The sequence below is a fragment of the Homo sapiens genome, chromosome 1 (assembly GCF_000001405.40).
Source record: "Homo sapiens chromosome 1, GRCh38.p14 Primary Assembly".
Taxonomy (NCBI): Eukaryota; Metazoa; Chordata; class Mammalia; order Primates; family Hominidae; genus Homo; species Homo sapiens.
This window is the reverse complement of record NC_000001.11, coordinates 201,725,685-201,741,573: the sequence shown is the minus strand read 5'-3', so window position 1 is coordinate 201,741,573 and position 15,889 is coordinate 201,725,685. Positions and strand designations below refer to the sequence as shown.

General features: G+C 50.5%; 1 protein-coding gene, 2 long non-coding RNA genes and 1 pseudogene across 13 annotated transcripts in view, besides 3 other annotated features; 2 read left to right on the top strand and 2 right to left on the bottom strand.

Annotated features, from left to right (window-relative positions):
• Nucleotides 1-15,889, bottom strand: part of NAV1 (neuron navigator 1) — a 287,843-nt gene that overhangs the window by 85,396 nt on the left and 186,558 nt on the right. For 5 of the 9 annotated variants that reach the window (NM_001389611.1, NM_001167738.2, NM_001389612.1 and 2 more), the window contains exon 1: nucleotides 1,498-1,674. The exons of the other annotated variants lie outside the window; for them this stretch is intronic. In NM_001389611.1, the coding sequence (NP_001376540.1) occupies nucleotides 1,498-1,550 (53 nt within the window). In that variant the 5' untranslated portion in view covers nucleotides 1,551-1,674. Of the gene's footprint in view, nucleotides 1-1,497; nucleotides 1,675-15,889 lie in introns of those variants that run through there. 9 annotated transcript variants of the gene reach the window in all.
• IPO9-AS1 (IPO9 antisense RNA 1) overlaps nucleotides 1-15,889 on the top strand; it is a 141,304-nt gene that overhangs the window by 87,986 nt on the left and 37,429 nt on the right. The window lies entirely within an intron of this gene.
• LOC124904483 (uncharacterized) overlaps nucleotides 1-15,889 on the top strand; it is a 55,488-nt gene that overhangs the window by 35,969 nt on the left and 3,630 nt on the right. The window contains exons 1-2 of one of the 3 annotated variants that reach the window (XR_007066792.1): nucleotides 9,455-10,036; nucleotides 10,595-10,652. The exons of 1 other annotated variant lie outside the window; for it this stretch is intronic. This is a non-coding gene — a long non-coding RNA (uncharacterized LOC124904483). Of the gene's footprint in view, nucleotides 1-9,454; nucleotides 10,653-15,889 lie in introns of those variants that run through there. One more of the 3 variants, XR_007066791.1, reaches the window with a different exon arrangement.
• Nucleotides 717-816: a silencer, noted in NCBI's record as "silent region_1694". NCBI's record gives its function as "represses an Ori minimal core promoter by ATAC-STARR-seq in GM12878 lymphoblastoid cells {active_cell/tissue: GM12878}" and the evidence as "EXISTENCE:reporter gene assay evidence [ECO:0000049][PMID:35858748]".
• Nucleotides 3,178-3,727: an enhancer, noted in NCBI's record as "H3K27ac hESC enhancer chr1:201706975-201707524 (GRCh37/hg19 assembly coordinates)". NCBI's record gives its function as "activates a minimal SCP1, AML or CMV promoter by ChIP-STARR-seq in naive and primed H9 embryonic stem cells {active_cell/tissue: H9 hESC(naive and primed)}" and the evidence as "EXISTENCE:reporter gene assay evidence [ECO:0000049][PMID:30033119]".
• Nucleotides 3,728-4,279: an enhancer, noted in NCBI's record as "H3K27ac hESC enhancer chr1:201706423-201706974 (GRCh37/hg19 assembly coordinates)". NCBI's record gives its function as "activates a minimal SCP1, AML or CMV promoter by ChIP-STARR-seq in naive H9 embryonic stem cells {active_cell/tissue: H9 hESC(naive)}" and the evidence as "EXISTENCE:reporter gene assay evidence [ECO:0000049][PMID:30033119]".
• Nucleotides 8,069-8,168, bottom strand: RNU6-501P (RNA, U6 small nuclear 501, pseudogene; annotated as a pseudogene).

Genomic DNA, 15,889 nt, shown 5'->3' with positions numbered 1-15,889 from the left:
GAAGTAGGCTCTAGTTGGGGTGGCAGAGGTGGAGGGAGGAGAGGAGGTTATGAACAGTTCCTTCCCTTCACCTTCTCCAGGGCCCAGTGAGCTGTCCAGGACTCAGCCCAGGATCTCACCTGAAGTAAGAGGTCCCTACATGGGTTTATTCTCTGCTCATAAACTGGTTCCTTTTATGACACCACCATACCTACCAGCCATTTTGGCAAAGTGACCCCAAGGACCCAAGTCACATTCCAGGGGGGCTTCAGGGCTGCATTCTGTCATACTGTGGTAGGGGAAAAAAGTTTGGAGTCAGCGGGCCTCTGGCTTCCAAGGGGCTCCTGGTGCCCATGGTCTTGCAGGGCAGGAACGGAGGCAGAAGATGCCTCTCGTTTCAGGCCTTGCCCAATTCTTTGCTTTTACCCTAGACCTTTGTGTGCACAGTTGTAATTGAGCCCCTGGAGGGTACTTGGGGCTCCCTTCGAGCAATATGAGGACGCAGGAGCATGTTACAGGGTGCAGGTCTGGGCTGCCTGAGATTTGAGGTGGGAGTGGCCACAGCACCAGGCATAGGGCCCAACCTCCAACTTCCCAGGTCTGCGGGAGGCTGAGGGGAAGGAGAGTGTATATGGGGTGAGAATAGTGAGATGGGAAGCCTCCCCTGCCCACCCCGCTAAAAAATCCCAGAAACCCCAGCCCCCTTTCTCAGGCCGGTGGAATTTCCTAATTCTCCCTTGGAAGTGCAGTTTCCAAGTCAGCTCAGAGAGTCCCAGGGCCAGCTGTGGTTACACTCACTTCCCCTTTATGAAGGAGCCTCTGTGCCTTGCCCTCACCTTACACGACCAGTCCCTCACTGTGCGTCTCCCCAAATTACCCGGCTCTCCGATTTTTCACCCCTTCCCAGGGTAGAGCACCAGGCTTCACTCTCTCTCGGAAGTATCCAGCCAGCAGTACGGTCACAAATTCAACGTCCCCTCCCTCCCCCGTTTCATCCTTCCGCCTCCCACCACCTCCTTTCACCCCAGGACGACCCCCGGAGCTTCCGGAACTAGGGTGACCTTGGCAGGGCCGACCTGGGGCTGCAAGCCCCTCCTCCTTCCACCCGCCTGGTCCCCAGGACCCCCGACCCTCACAGGCCGGGCCCCCACGCGCCACAGCCGCAACCATCGAAGTTCAATCAAGTTGCGCTATTGTCTCAGCTCCGTCCAGGTCTCCTGGGCGCCTAAGCTCCTTTCCTTCCCTTTCCACTCCCTAGAGCCCTCCACACACCCACTCCCAGCCCCAGATGCCCGTAAGCCAAACGTCCAGGAGCTCGGAGGCTCCGGCGGCGCAGGCACTCCTCTCTGGCGGAAAAGCGAGCGCGGCCAAGACCCTCCTTCTTGCGGACCCCACACCCACTGCCCCTGAGACTGCAGCTGCGGCGGAACTGGGGGGCTGCGGCGGGGCTGGGGGTGCCACAAACCCGACCCCAGCTCTGCGGTCTGGCGGTGAGGCCAGGGGGGTGGGGGCGCTTACCTGCGGGGGAAATTCACCGTTCTTCCGGATCTGGGCAGGGGCAGATGAAGCATCTTCCCCGGCTCAGGCGGCCATTCACCGGGTGGGCACCCAGCGCCCCCCAGGACCGCTCTCGCCTGACACCCGGGGACACCCGAAAAGGTATGAGCTGTGGGCCACGCGGAGGGTCGGAAACCTAACCCTCGCCTGCCCTCCGCTCCCTTTTCTCCCCACCACCAGGGCTTGTACTTACGGCTCCAGCTGTACTTAAAGTGACAGAGCCCCATTTCCCCGCCGCTGACTTCTGTCCCGAGCCCCGGCGATGCAGGCTGCGAGCGGGCTCTTTAACACCCAGAGCAGGTAGACAAAGAGCCACCGAAGCCTCCTCCGTTCCGGTGGCCTCGGAAGCCTGGAGGTGCCGACGGGGCTGGGGGCTCGACCTCCACCTGGGCTGCTCCGAAATTAACCCCTGGGATGCCAGCTGTGGTCCCTTGGGCGCTCTTACTCGCGCTGCACTGGCAGGAGGGGGTGTGAGCAGCGAGCCACTTCTCTCTGGGGCACGGGTGGGTAAGGAGTTGGGGAGGCCTGGGCAGAACCTTCTCCATAGAGGGCTTCCTCCCGGCCTCCTCCTGGCTCCTTTCCAGGCTTTTAGAAATTTCTAAAAATCGGAGCATGGGTCAGTGCATTGCCTAAAACAAGGTCCGTGGAGGGATGTGGTGGGAAACGAAGGTCCGATAGGGGTGCATATTACCACAGGTTGGCTCACGACCCTTCTGCTCACAGCCGGGAGCCAAGTAGGATGGCGCGACCTTCCGATGTCCTAACAACCTCAGGGGGTGGGGCCTAACATCTCTCCAGCATTCAGGAGACCACAGATTAGGTGAGGTGTGCTTGCTGGGGGAAGATTGTGGGAGAGAAACAACAGCTCACGCCACCCAAGGATCTGTGTCTTTATCCAGGATGCATTTTCAACTGACCGGTTAGGAAAAAAACAGTGGGATCCAGTAGCAGGGTCCTCCCATTGGGTTCCTCCCCCCTGAGGGTCCTCCTGGTAACTTCACTCTCCTGGTTCCAGAGAAAGGAGCCCTGTGGGGGGAATTAGCCTGCTGCCCTCACCCTTGCTTCCTCCAGTTCTCACTCTTGGCTCCTGGAAGGGGCTAAGTGTCTATGGTTGGGTCCCAATGCCAATGTGAACTGGGCAAACTGGGAAGCCTACATTTTAGAGATGGACAAATTATACCTGCAGTTTCTTTAAGCGACAAAAACAACAGTAGCATTTTTTTAAGCCCCCTAAAGTGCTGAACTAAGATGACTTGGGACCACAGAGCAGTAGTCTCTAGTGTTTGGGCAGTTTGATGTGACTGAGCCACACATACAGATCCAGGTCACATGTGTTCTCTTAAGCCTATCTTTCCAGGCCTCAGTTTTTACAGATGTTAAGGGAGAGGTTTGCACTCCTGAACTCCTCCTCCTCGCTCTCACTGCCTTTAAAGAGGTCTGGGTGGTGCTTTGAGTCCTAGGAACAATCCTTTCCCAAGCCCCCCAGCAATGCAGGCTGCCCCTACTATTTTCGGCCCACAGGTCAATGCACTTTGGGTAACTGTACAGCCCCTCTGCCCCTACTACTCTGGCTGCCCAATGCCACTGACCTGGGGCTGCAGCTCTAGAGTGATGAACCACAGTTCTTAGAGGACAGAAAACCTCAGCAGAGGGACCTCTGTTTCTGGAGAATGGAACAGTTTAAGTTGGAGGAAGGGTCTTTGTTTCTGAGGTTGCACATTGTGGCCAAGTTTTCCAAATATGCTTTGAGATCAAAGGGGAGTAAAGAGCTGCAGTGATCCTAGCGCCAATCCCTCAGACTTCCCCCTAGCATGGGGGGCAGACAGATTTTTATTCCCTTTACTCTGTTCTAAGAGGTTTGGGTAGTAAGACTTAGAAAAGATGCACCAGCTCCCAAGCAGACCAGCTCTGAGGGGGAATCAGAGCAAGGCAGACGGTTCTCTCTCACATATTCTTCCATTTCATTCCAGGATGATGTCCCTGGCCAAGCCCTATCCTGGCTCTCCTGTTCTGGTAATGTCCTGAGCCTCCCATCCTCACCACCACCCGAAACGGGGTGAGCACAATGAGTTCTCTAGGGAGGCTCTGTCCACGCAGCTGTGCTGGAGCTGGCCTGGGTCATCTGGGGAACAGCTTACAGTGACGTGCCATAAGGGATTCTCTTTAGCCTCAGCCAGCATGGAATCCTGAGTAAAATGACTTTGTCTCAGCCAAAGGAATGTCATCAGCAGGGGATGTTTTTCTCCAGATCTAGCTGTAAGCTTTCCATAAGGTTTCCTCCTTTGTGGTTTTCTCAGCAGGGAGGGCCTGGAAGGAGGGAGATCTGAGGCCTGAAAGGGGTAGGCACAGGGGTTTACTTGGAGGGACAGGGGTCTTGTGCATGGAGCTGAGCTGTTCCTGAACATTCCCTCGCAGCCCCCCAGAGACCATGTGGCTCCATCCCTCATCCTCATACCTGGAGGCCTGCCCACCCTTCCTTCCACCCTCCTCCCTGTGTGTCTCACCTCACACAGGGACTGGAGGAGCAAACCATAAAGAGAACAAGTCTCAGCCAGTAGCTCAGCTCAGGGGAGAGGCTCTCAGCTGAGTCCCCACTGAACATTCTGGGGTATAGGGTCTCTAAATCACCTCCTTCTTGGGATTGATTCCTGAGCTGCCAGAACCCAACAGAAGGCAAGTTTCCTGCTATAAGTTCCTCTTTCCTTCTTGATGAGGACGGTAAGTCCCACAGTAGTGTCTACCTTACTGCTTCGTGGAGGTTATGGTGAGCTTTTATAGGGGAAGGAGCAGGATCCCAGAAGCGTTGCTACTTAAATAAGTAACATGCAAATTAGCACCTGCTATTTTCAGGTCAGGGCACTTTGGGTAATTGGCAGCAGCACTGAAGAGAAATGTTGTCTGGGAGTTTTTTGTGAAAATATGAAAACACAGCCTCCCCTGTCAATGGGGAGCTTCTGCGCTTGAAGGGGCCCTGACCTTGCCTGTCATGAGGGTGTGGCAGAGTGGAAGGGATATGGTGGCACGGTTGTCTTGACTACAGTGGAGGTGGAGGGTGGGGGATGGGCAATGAAGGGGTGACTCTGAGCATGACTGTAGCCTGGGGTGCAGGGAGTGGGGGGCAGCGGAGGGACACATGGTAGAGGAGGATGACACCTGCTGAAAGGGAGCTGGGAGTCAGGCACTTGTCCAGAAAGAAAACCCAGCCAAAGAGGGAGAGAGGAAAAAGGCCTGTCTATCTCACATAGGCTTCCTCTGTGCTCCTGTGGGGCTTCTCTTCAAAAAGCCCTTAGGAGCCATGATCTCATTTGTCTCCCGTGCCAGCACTCTCACAGCAGCTCTTTACAAGGGGGAAACTGAGGCATAGAAAGTCCAGGAAATGTCCAAAGCAGAGGGCAGAATGCAGGCTAATATGCATGAGGTCCCTCAGCCAGATTCCTGGGAGGGGGTAATTCTCTCTTCCTTCCCACACCTTCCCCACCTCAAAGGATCTCTGGAGTCACCTTGGCTGAGGCCCAAGGTTCTTTTGGCTGAAGTTTCATTTCCAACAGAGACATCGAAAGATAGTTTATGGGAGGCTCTCCTTGTCTCCTGGACAATAATCTCAGAGGTTGATGTGGTTGGTTAGAATGGGGTAAGAAAAAAAGGGAAAGACTTGAGAAGCAGTTTGGTGTGCTCTAAATTCCAGTGTTGCTTGCTTGTGGGTTTCTGGGTTCCAGGGTCACCTGTCTGGGGCCTGATCACATACCCGATTTCCTGGTGAGCCCCAGAAATGAGACCCTTGAGAGGATTAGGGTCCCAAGGTAGGTATCCACAACTCTGTCCACTGACCTGCCCTCATGTCTTCTCGTTCCCATCAATCATAAGGCTATTTCATTCCTCAGATGGAAAAGCCTGTCCTTGAACAAGTTTTGGCCAGTCAGAGAATGTCCCTCTGGGCCTGTGGGTGATAGCTGGGCCTGTGACTCCTCTGCATCCTAGCCAGGCCTAGTTGATAGCATAGTGGCAGAAGCAGGACAATGGGCATTTTACAGCAGAGTGATTAAAAAGAGAAAGAATTAAACCAGAATGGAGGGGCAGGGAAAGGAAAGAGAAAGGAATTGGGAGAGGGACTTCAGTGAATTAACCCTTTCCATACTGTGGCAGGATCAATGGGGAATTACCTGGCCACATCCTTAATCCCAGCTTTCAAAAACCTGCTCCCAGATCCCCCAATGACCCTACTGAATCCTGAGGGAATCATCTGTCGTGACCTTGACAGATGTCTAAGAAAATAATTTCCAGTCTCTGTGTAGAAGTTTTCAAAGCATTTTCACATCCATGAGTTTATTCTATTTTCAAATAACCTAGTGATCTAAGGTGAGGCAGGTACTATTATACTTGCTTTAGAACATTAACAGCAAGAAAGATTAATAATAGAGTGGCCTTGTTTGGCCACAGGTTTAGAAGCCACAGTGACATTGGGTCCAGGTCCAGGCAATGGATTTCTTTACCATTAGCAATGCCTGTGTCTTCCAGAGTTCCTCATGCATGAATGTGGGGCGCTTCTCTCCTTTCCTAGACCAGCATGGCTGCTGTCTTTCCTCCTCAACCTCCAGGCCCTTCCTGCAGGAAATGCCAGGTACCCTGGATCAGACCCAGTTCATGTGGTCAGAAAATCCAGAACGTTTGAGCCAAAAAGGACTTTAGAGAGCATCTAGTTCAAACCGCTCATTTTCACAGAGGAGAAAATTAGGCCCAGACAGGGCAAGTGACTAGCTCAAGATCCTTCCACACAATCCAGGTGTCTTGATTCCTGGGGCAGGCTTCTTTTTACCAGTCAATGGCACCACTTCTTGCCAACTCCCTCCCTGGTGTGGGGCTCAGATTGACAGGTTTGGAAGGTAGATGGGAGAGTTTGAACTGGGGGCACTGGGGGTCAGCAGATGCACAGTGGAGTGTTCCAGAGCTCAGCCCTAATCCCAGCTGAGATTTCTCTGGGGCAGCAAATCAGACAGCTGGAGGAAGGGGTCCTGCTCCCAGCTGTGTTACTGTTCAACAAATATTTATATAACCTTCGAGGAGACCTGCCTTTCTCACCACCCCACAGTTGGGAGGGGCAGGAGAGAGGGTAGACCCTCCAGATCTTGTATAGTGAGCTACCGTCTCAGTAATCCTAGCTGATTATCTTGCTTCCAGTATCCCAACACATCAGTGGCTTTGTGTGCTTCTGAGAACATGAGACAGAGGACCATAGGAAGGGGTAGGGGAGAGGGGCTGTCTCTCCAGTAAGGGCCTGATGGACCCTCACCTGGGGTCACTGGGCAGATGCCAGGGTGTGTGTGAGTGTGTGTGTGTTTGTGTGTGTACAAACCCTCCACCTCGAGAGGCCAGGAGCAATCATTTCAGATCAGCTTAAGCACCCATGCCACTGCACTCCAGTGGTTCTCCGTTGCTAATTTGGATCCCAAATCTCTGGGAAACACAAATGAAACCTCATACAATGTATTGAGAAAGTACTGTAAATGATCTTCTTCTTCTTCTTCTTCTTCTTCTTCTTCTCCTTCTCCTTCTTCCTCCTCCTCCTCCTCTTCCTCCTCCTCCTCCTCCTCTTCTTCTTCTTCTTCCTCTTCTTCTTCTTTTTTTCTTTTTTGAGACAGGGTCTTGCTCTGTCACCCAGGCTGGAGTGCAGTGGCATGGACACGGCTCACTCCAGCCTCAATCTCCAATCACTCAAGCGATCCTCCCACCTCAGCCTCCTGAGTTGCTGGGACCACAGGTGCAAGCCATCATCGCCAGCTAATTTTAAAATTTTTTGTACAGAAGGAGTCTTGCTGTGTTGCCCAGGCTGGTCTCGAACTCCTGGGCTCAAGCAATCCGCCCGCCTAAGCCTTCCAAAGGGCTAGGATGAGAGGTGTGAGCCATCACACCTGGCCAATGTTATCTTCTTTAATCCTCAAAACCTTCTCCCCACCTCCACTTCTATCCCTGGTGTGAGCCACCATCCATTCTCACTTAGCTAACTGCAGCAGTCTCCCTTCCATGCTTCCTGGTTCCCCTGGTGTCCCTGTGGTCTGCTCTCCTCATAGTAGCCAGACAGACCCTTTGCAAAACATGTTGGATCACATCGTCCCTCTCCCTGAAGTCCTCCAGTAGCTTCCTCTCTCTTGGAAGAAAAGCCAAAGTCCTCAGCATGGCACACATGGCCTCTGGCTACCTGTGACCTCATTTCTGGCCACTTGCCCCCTTGCTAACTCTGCTTCAGCCACACTGACCTCCCTGCAGTTCCTTGAACTTATGCCGATTCCTGCCTCTGGGCCTTTGCATATACTCTTCTGTCTGCCTGGACAGCTCTCTCCCCAGTTATCTGCACAGTTTATCAAAGAAGCCTTCCCTGACTATCCACTCTCAAATACCCGCTACCCCATCACTCTCTGCCCCTTACCCTGCTTTATTTTTCCTTATGACACACAGCACCACCTAACCTATTGCATGTTTATCTGTTGGCTTGTTTGCCATTTCTTTTTCTCTCTTTTTTTAATTTAATATATATATTTTAAATATAGAAGGCTTCACAGATTTGGGTGTCATCCTTGCACATGCTAATCTTCTCTGTATTGTTCCAATTTTAGTATATGTGCTGCCAAAGCGAGCACTGCCATTACTTTCTTTTTTCTTTTTTGAGAAGGAGTCTCGCTCTGTCACCCAGGCTGGAGTGCAGTGGCTCAATCTCGGCTCACTGCAAGCTCTGCCTCCCAGGTTCATGCCATTCTCCTGCCTCAGCCTCCCAAGTAGCTGGGACTACAGGCACGCATCACCATGCCCAGCTAATTTTTTGTATTTTTAGTAGAGACGGGGTTTCACCATGTTGGCCAGGATGGTCTCGATCTCTTGACCTCATGATCCGCCCGCCTTGGCCTCCAAAAATGCTGGGATTACAGGCATAAGCCACCATGCCTGGCCCTGCCATTTCTTTTTTGTTTTGGTTTTTGAGACAGAGTCTCGCTCTGTTGCCCAGGCTGGAGTACAGTGGTATGATCTCAGCTCACTGCAACCTCCGCCTCCTGGGTTCAAGCAATTCTTATGTCTCAGCCTCCTGAGGAGCTGGGATTACAGGCACGCGCCACCATGCCCAGCTAATTTTTGTATTTTTAGTAGACACAGGGTTCCGCCATGTTGGCCAGGCTGGTTTTGAACTCCTGACCTCAAGTGATCCACCCGCCTTGGCCTCCCAAAGTGCTGGGATTACAGGCGTGACCCACCACACCTGGCCATTTCTTTTCATACATGAGTTTAAGAGCAATGCCTATTTTTCCTCCTGCCACATCTGCAGTGTCTGGTATATATTAAGTGGTCTACAAGTGTTTGTGGAATGTATGAGCAAATATCACAAGGTGGGCATTCCTTTCAGATAATGACACCGAAGCACAAAGAGGCTAAGTAATGCACATAGGTAGTGAGTAGCAAACTGAAAATTATACCAGACCAGTTGGGCTCTAGAATGTTCCATCTACTTTGCTACTCTACTTCCCAAGAGCAGGAAACTAACCACAAGGACTTGTGGAGATATAAGAGAGTGTATAAGCCAGACATGGTGACTCATGCCTGTAATCCCAGCACTTTGGGAGGCCAAGGTGGGTGGATAGCTTGAGCCCAGGAGTTTGAGACCCGCCTGGGCAGCATGGTAAAACCCTGCCTCTACCAAAATTAAAAAAAATACAAAAATTAGTGTGTATTTTAAAATTTAAGAATTAGCCTGTATTACATTTTAAACTTAGCATGGATTAAAAATAGCATCGTGGCACTTGCCTGTAGTCCCAGCTACTTGGGAGGCTGAGGCGGGAGGATTGCTTGGGCCCAAGAAGTCAAGGCTGCAGTGAACCATGATTGTGCCACTGCACCCCAGCCTGGGTGACAGAGTGATGCTTGTCTCAGGGGAAGAAAAAAAAAAAGAGAGAGAGAGATTGTATAGCTGTTGCCTTCCAAACTTCAGGGGTATCTGATCAGAGCTGGGAAGGGTGGGATCTCTCAGTTGGAACCTCACACAGGGAGCAAGGAGCTCCCTTGTATTTTCCCTGGCTAAATCCAGAAAACAGGGAAGATCAGAGGAAAGTTCACTCCAGCATGAGCACAGGGCAGCTGGCTATCCCCCAGGGCCCCTCTGTGGAGGCTCGCTGTGGCTTGGAAAGGGGCAGTGACAGCCAGATGATAAGCTCTGTCCCTGATCTTCTAATAACACTCAGCAGAATGTCAGCAGTCCTGGGAACCCCAGCTGCTGCAAGTCCCACCACCTGAAATTGTCCATATGGCCATGTATGTGTAGATAGTGTCATTCCTGAACTGCCCTTTGTCATCAAACCCACAGGGGCCAAGACAGAAGCCAGACTTCAAAGTAGAGGAAGAATGAGAGATTGAGGCTGGGTAGAGGGGCTGGAAGAGGGTGAGCAGTCAAAGAGGGCAGGGACTAGGTCAGAGCTTTGTTCCTGTCTCCCAAGCTGGAGATGCCCCACAAGAAAGAGACAAGGTACGACACAGACCCCTTTTAGTAGGAGCTGGCCAAAGGAGAAGGGGGGTAGGCTGGTGAGAATATACTCGCCCTGCTCTGGGTCACTCCCCAACCCTCAGGCTGAGCACAAGGTCACTCTTGTTTCTCTGGAGGGGTCCCTCCACCTCTCAGACACTCTCTGTGCCTGTCTGGTTGCCGCACACCCCCTGCACATCGGCGGGCCTGTGTCCTCAAACAGTCGATCTTGTGCACACACAGCCTCTTTGTATCCAGCCACCTCTCACACACGTTTGGATGGGTCTCACACAGTATCTGTCTGTCTCTCATTTCCACTGCTTGGTGTGCACATCACGAACGTGCTGACTCTGTTTTTCTACCGCACATGCCCCCGTGTCAGCCTCTCCTACCTTGTCTCTCCGTGATCCTGCCCTGCATATTCAGTGAGTGTCGATCTGCCTCCAATGTAGCTATGTGCTTTCGGTCTCTATGGGCCTGACTCTTTCCTCTGGCCTGCTTTGCAAATCTATACTTTTATGCCTTTTCCTGTGCTTGTTCCATCGTCACACTGATATATAGATGACCACCATTCAGTCCTTCAGCATCTTTGGACCCCCAACCCTGAACACTTCCGTAGGTAAGTCCCTCTGCCTGGCCTGCTGGCCTTTCTTCAGCTGCAGTGAATGGCCTTTTACTGCCTGGCCAGAGACATCTGATAGCCCAGAGGCCAGAGCTGGCCCCTCATGAACATCCTGGGACAGCTCAGCCTTTGAGCTGGAGTCAAACAAGGACTTGTATTCACAGAGGCTTGGGTTGCTCCTTCTGCCCTTGGACCAGAATTCCTGACTGTGGCCACTTTGTGGCTCCCCAAAGCAAGACTCTATCCTGGAAGATGGAGAGGTCATGTAAGGGCATTCCAGGAGGGGGTCTCTAACAATGATTCATTGGTCAGTCGACAGCATGGCCTGAGAACCTACATTGCTAGGTGTCGAGGGGAAACAGAGAGAGAGAAGACAGAGTCTCTGTCCTTGGGAAACTCCTACTCCAGTGGAAGGCCTGTGATCCCTGCCCCTGTCATGCTCACAGGCTTCAGGGACACAAGGGCTGCACACAGAGGGAAAGGCTTCAAGGAGCACATGGTGAGGCAGTAGGTGCACTGGAACGTGCCCAGAATGTCAGAGGCAGAGGCCTGGGTTCTGTTCTGGTGGGGCCACTTTGAGTTATATGATCCTCCCAAGCCAGTTAATCTGAGTTCCAATTTCTTCACTTGTAAATTGGAGGGGGGAAGAATGTCTAATTCACAGTGCTGTTAACATTAAATAAGATAATGCCATATTAGTGTGTGCAAACCATGCATGCTATGCAATTGCGAGAGAATCATAAAAGTGCAAATTACTTGCAGTATGAATTATGCACACAAGTTCCAGGACAACCCAGAGTCCAGTGTGATGAATCAGGAAAGGCTCCCTGGAGGGAGGGGATTTTGCAAAGATGGGTGGGCAACTGGACATCACCACCCAGGCGGAATAGTTGGCCATAGATGATGGCCTTTATAGCTTTGGTTTTCTAGGAGTAACCAAGAGAAGGGATGGAGGTAACATTTACTGACACCTGCTGCATGCCAAGTGTTATTTTTATTCTTTTATTTTTTTTTTAAGACAGTTTTGCTCTGTCGCCCAGGCTGGAGCGCAGTGGCACGATCTTGGCTCACTGCAAGCTCCACCTCCCGGGTTCACGCCATTCTCCTGCCTCAGCCTCCCGAGTACCTGGGACTACAGGCTCCCGCCACCACACCCGGCTAATTTTTTGTATTTTTAGTAGAGACGGGGTTTCACCGTGTTAGCCAGGATGGTCTCGATCTCCTGACCTCATGATCTGCCCGCCTCGGCCTCCCGAAGTGCTGGGATTACAGGTGTGAGCCACCGCACCTGGCCACCAAGTGTTATTTTTTAAGATGGAGTCCGATCTCTGCTCACTGCAACCTCCACCTCCCAGGTTCAAGCAATTCTCGTGCCTCAGCCTCCCAAGTAGCTGGGACTACAGGAGCCTGCCACCACGCCCAGCTAATTTTTGTATTTTTAGTAGAAATGGGGTTTCACCATGTTGGCCAGGCTGGTCTCGAACTCCCGACCTCAAGTGATCCACCTTGGCCTCCCAAAGTGTTGGGATTACAGGTGTGAGCCACTGTGCCTGGCCACCAAGTGTATTACATACACTATATTTCACTACATGCTAAGAACAATACTATTGCCGTATTCGTATTCTTGCTTAAAATAGATAAACAGCTTTTCCAAAGACTCAGAGCTGGGATCTGAACACCAGGCCTGTCATACTTCCAAACTTGTGTTCTTTCTGTAATATCAGACTACATGGAATTTCCAGGCACCACACAAGCTCAGCTGGCTTATCACAGAACATAAGGAAAAGGTTGACAATTAAAGAGGGGAGACAGTGGACAGGTAGACAGGTGGGCAGAGCTGGTGGGGGAAAAGCCAAGCTCATCTCAACAGCTTCCTTGATCCTTACCCATCTTGATTGTCAACCAAATTGCATGTCATCACACTAGGTGAAAACTCCAGCAGCTCAATTGTAGGTTACTAGGACACACTAGAGGAAGGAGCACTCCTTAGCTAGCATTAGTTGGCATAGCAACTAGAATACCTCCAGCAGCCCCTCTGGAATACCTGGCTTACTCCAACCTTTCACCAACCCTGCTGGGTTTGAACAGACACTGTTATCCAGATTAATGCTGCACAGACTGAGGGGTGCTGCCCACTATTTTAAGAATTAAGGAGGCTGGGTGTAGTGGCTCACACCTGTAATCTTAGCACTTTGGGAGGTTCAGGGGGGATCGGGGATTGCTTGAGCCCAGGAGTTTGAGACCAGCCTGGGCAACATAGTGAGACTCTGTCTCTACAGATGTCTTTTTTTTCTTTTCTTTTCTTTTTTTTTTTTTTTTGTTTTGCGATGGAGTTTCACTCTTCTTGCCCAGGCTGGAGTGTAATGGCATGATCTCAGCTCACTGCAAGCTCCACATTCTGGGTACAAGTGATTCTCCTACCTCAGCCTCCCAAGGAGCCAGGATTACAGGAGCCTGCCACGACACCAGGCTAATTTTTTTGTATTTTTAGTAGAGGCGGGGTTTCACCATGTTGGCCAGGCTGGTCTTGAACTCCTGACCTCAGGTGATCCACCTGCCTCGGCCTCCCAAAGTGCTGGGATTACAGGCATGAGCCACTGCGCCTGGACTTCTACAGAAAAATTTAAATACTAGCCAAGTGTGGTGATGTGTGCCTCTAGTCCCAGCTACTCAGGAGGCTGAGGTGGGAGGATCATGTGAGCCTAGGAGGTAGAGGCTGCCACGAGCCCTGATTACACCACTGAACTCTAGCCTGTGCAACAGAGTGAGATCCTGTCTCAAAAAAAAAGAAAAAGAAAAAAAGAAGGAGTGTTTTGAGAGCCAGGGGTTCACATCTGACCCAGGAATCTAACTCCACACCTTCCTCTTGTCTTTCCTTCCCATCTTTCCTCTTTATAACTGGTGGTATTTGTGTCCCACCTATGCCCCCTGCAGTCACTGTTCCTGTATGTGCTGTCTGAGCATGACTGTGGGCGCCTGTGACTCGAACTCAGGAATTCCTCTCAGCCTATGTGCAGCAGGCTTGAAACGCAGACCCAATGCCCTCTAGGAGCTGCCCTCAGCCAATAATGAATGGGAGCTGACATATAAATACCCATGCTTCCTTGCCCTTCTGGTGGGGCAACACTGAGGTGTATTCCACGTCATCTCCTAGAAATCCGTAAGCCCCAGTTGCCCACAGCAGTAACCTGCACATGAACATAGCCTGTAGTGGCTTCCTTCTCTCCCCTAACTCACTTTCCCACTCCTGTCAGCACTTTCTGGGCACCTGCCAAATAAACCACTTGCACCCAAATCCTTGTCTCAAGGTCAGCTTCTGGGGGTGCCCGGCCCAAGACATTCTTCATAGGCAAGAAACATGTTTGAGTGAAGGACTGACAGCCCAATTAGCCAAGTCATGATGGGAAAGAGGTCATGGTCACTTGTGTGACTCTGTGTGCAGTGAGCTTAGCTATCTGCACAATAAGCACATGCTATACTCACCCCAAACCACAGATGGGCACCATTTGCTGCACGAGAACATTGTGTGAACAGGTAAAAATGGGTCAAAACAAATCCATCTTTCTTGGCAAACAACTTATTATGTCATTCTTCCTGTGAGGATCAGAAAGATCATTTTCAAGCATGAAGGTTAATACATTCTTTGTCAAAGAATGTATTATCATCTAGAATGTGTCTGTGACAACTTAGGTCCAGTAGCTTGCTAATGTCTATCATCAAATGGCTGATGAAGGAGAGCCAGCATTTGTTGAGCATGTATGATATCTAACATAAGACAGCATTTATGATATCTAACGTAAGAGTATTAACTAATTTAATCCTCACATTAATCTTACAGAGTAGGCACCACTTCTCTCCACAGTTTTCGGCTGAGGAAACAAGCAGAGGGAGGTGAAAAACTCATCCAAACTCACAGAGCTAGGAAGGAAAAGAGACAGGACACAAACACAGGCAGCCTAGCTGTGAGCCTTCACTCTAAACCATGCTATGGCTCTGCCCATCTGTGGTATGCCTGTGTTGATAAGCCTGTTCTCAAAAGTCTGTTTATTTAACTGCACACTACAGGATTAAAAGAATATCAAGACCGTGTTGTGAAGCATTCCTTGAAACCTAAGTCAAAGCCCAAATTTAATGTCCTCATCTTCCAAGTTTAAGAAATCTTATTTTGATACTCTAGCCACCCCTAATTAAGGCAGAAGCCATCAGCTAAATGAAGAGAACATTACATGGAGATCAGAATAATAGATTTCTATTTTTTTTTTTTTTTTTTGAGATGGAGTTTTGCTCTTGTTGCCCAGGCTGGAGTGGAGTGGTGCGATCTTGGCTCACTACAACTTCCACCTCCTGGGTTCAAGCAATTCTCCTGCCTCAGCCTCCTGAGCAGCTGGGATTACAGGTGTGCACCACCACACTGGCTAATTTTGTATTTTTAGTAGAGATGGGGTTTCATCATGTTGTTGTTGGTCAGGCTGGTCTTGAACTCCTGACCTCAGGACATCTACCCACCTCGGCCTCCCAAAGTGCTGGGATTACAGGCATAAGCCACCACACCCAACCAGAATAATAGATTTCAAACTGACAGCTCTTTATACTTTTCAAAGCACTCTTACTATTCTTTTCCATTTGATCCTCTTAAGGCAAAAATGATTACCTTTTTTACAAATGAACAAACTAAGACTCAGAGAGGCTAGGTGGCTTTCTCAGTGCCACAGCAAGTTAGAGCCGTGCTTAGGATTGAACTCCAGATCTCAGAATTAGCCCAGTGCTTCTTCCCTACACCACAAAGAAGCATCAGCCAAGGCTATGTGTATGAATCTGGAGTCAGCATTCTAATTGTTAGATATTATCTTCAATGAAGCAACAGCTATCATCTACTTCAACTACATACTGCTTCCTTTACTGTGGACCCAATAAGTACCCTACCTTTCTATTTTATTTTAATTTTTAAAATTTATTTAACTTTCTAGAGACAGGGTCTTTGTCGCCCAGGCTGGTGTGCAGGGGTGTGATCATAGCTCACTGCAACCTCAACTCCTGGGCTCAAGGGATTCTCCCTCTTCAGCCTCCTGAGTAGCTGGGACCACAGGCACATGCCACCATGCCCAGTTAAGTTTTAATTTTTTTTGTAGAAACAGTGTCTTGCTATGTTGCCCAGGCCTAGTCTTGAACTCCTGGTCTCAAGCGATCCTCTCTCCCTGGACTCCCAAAGTGCTGGGATTACAGACATAAGCCAC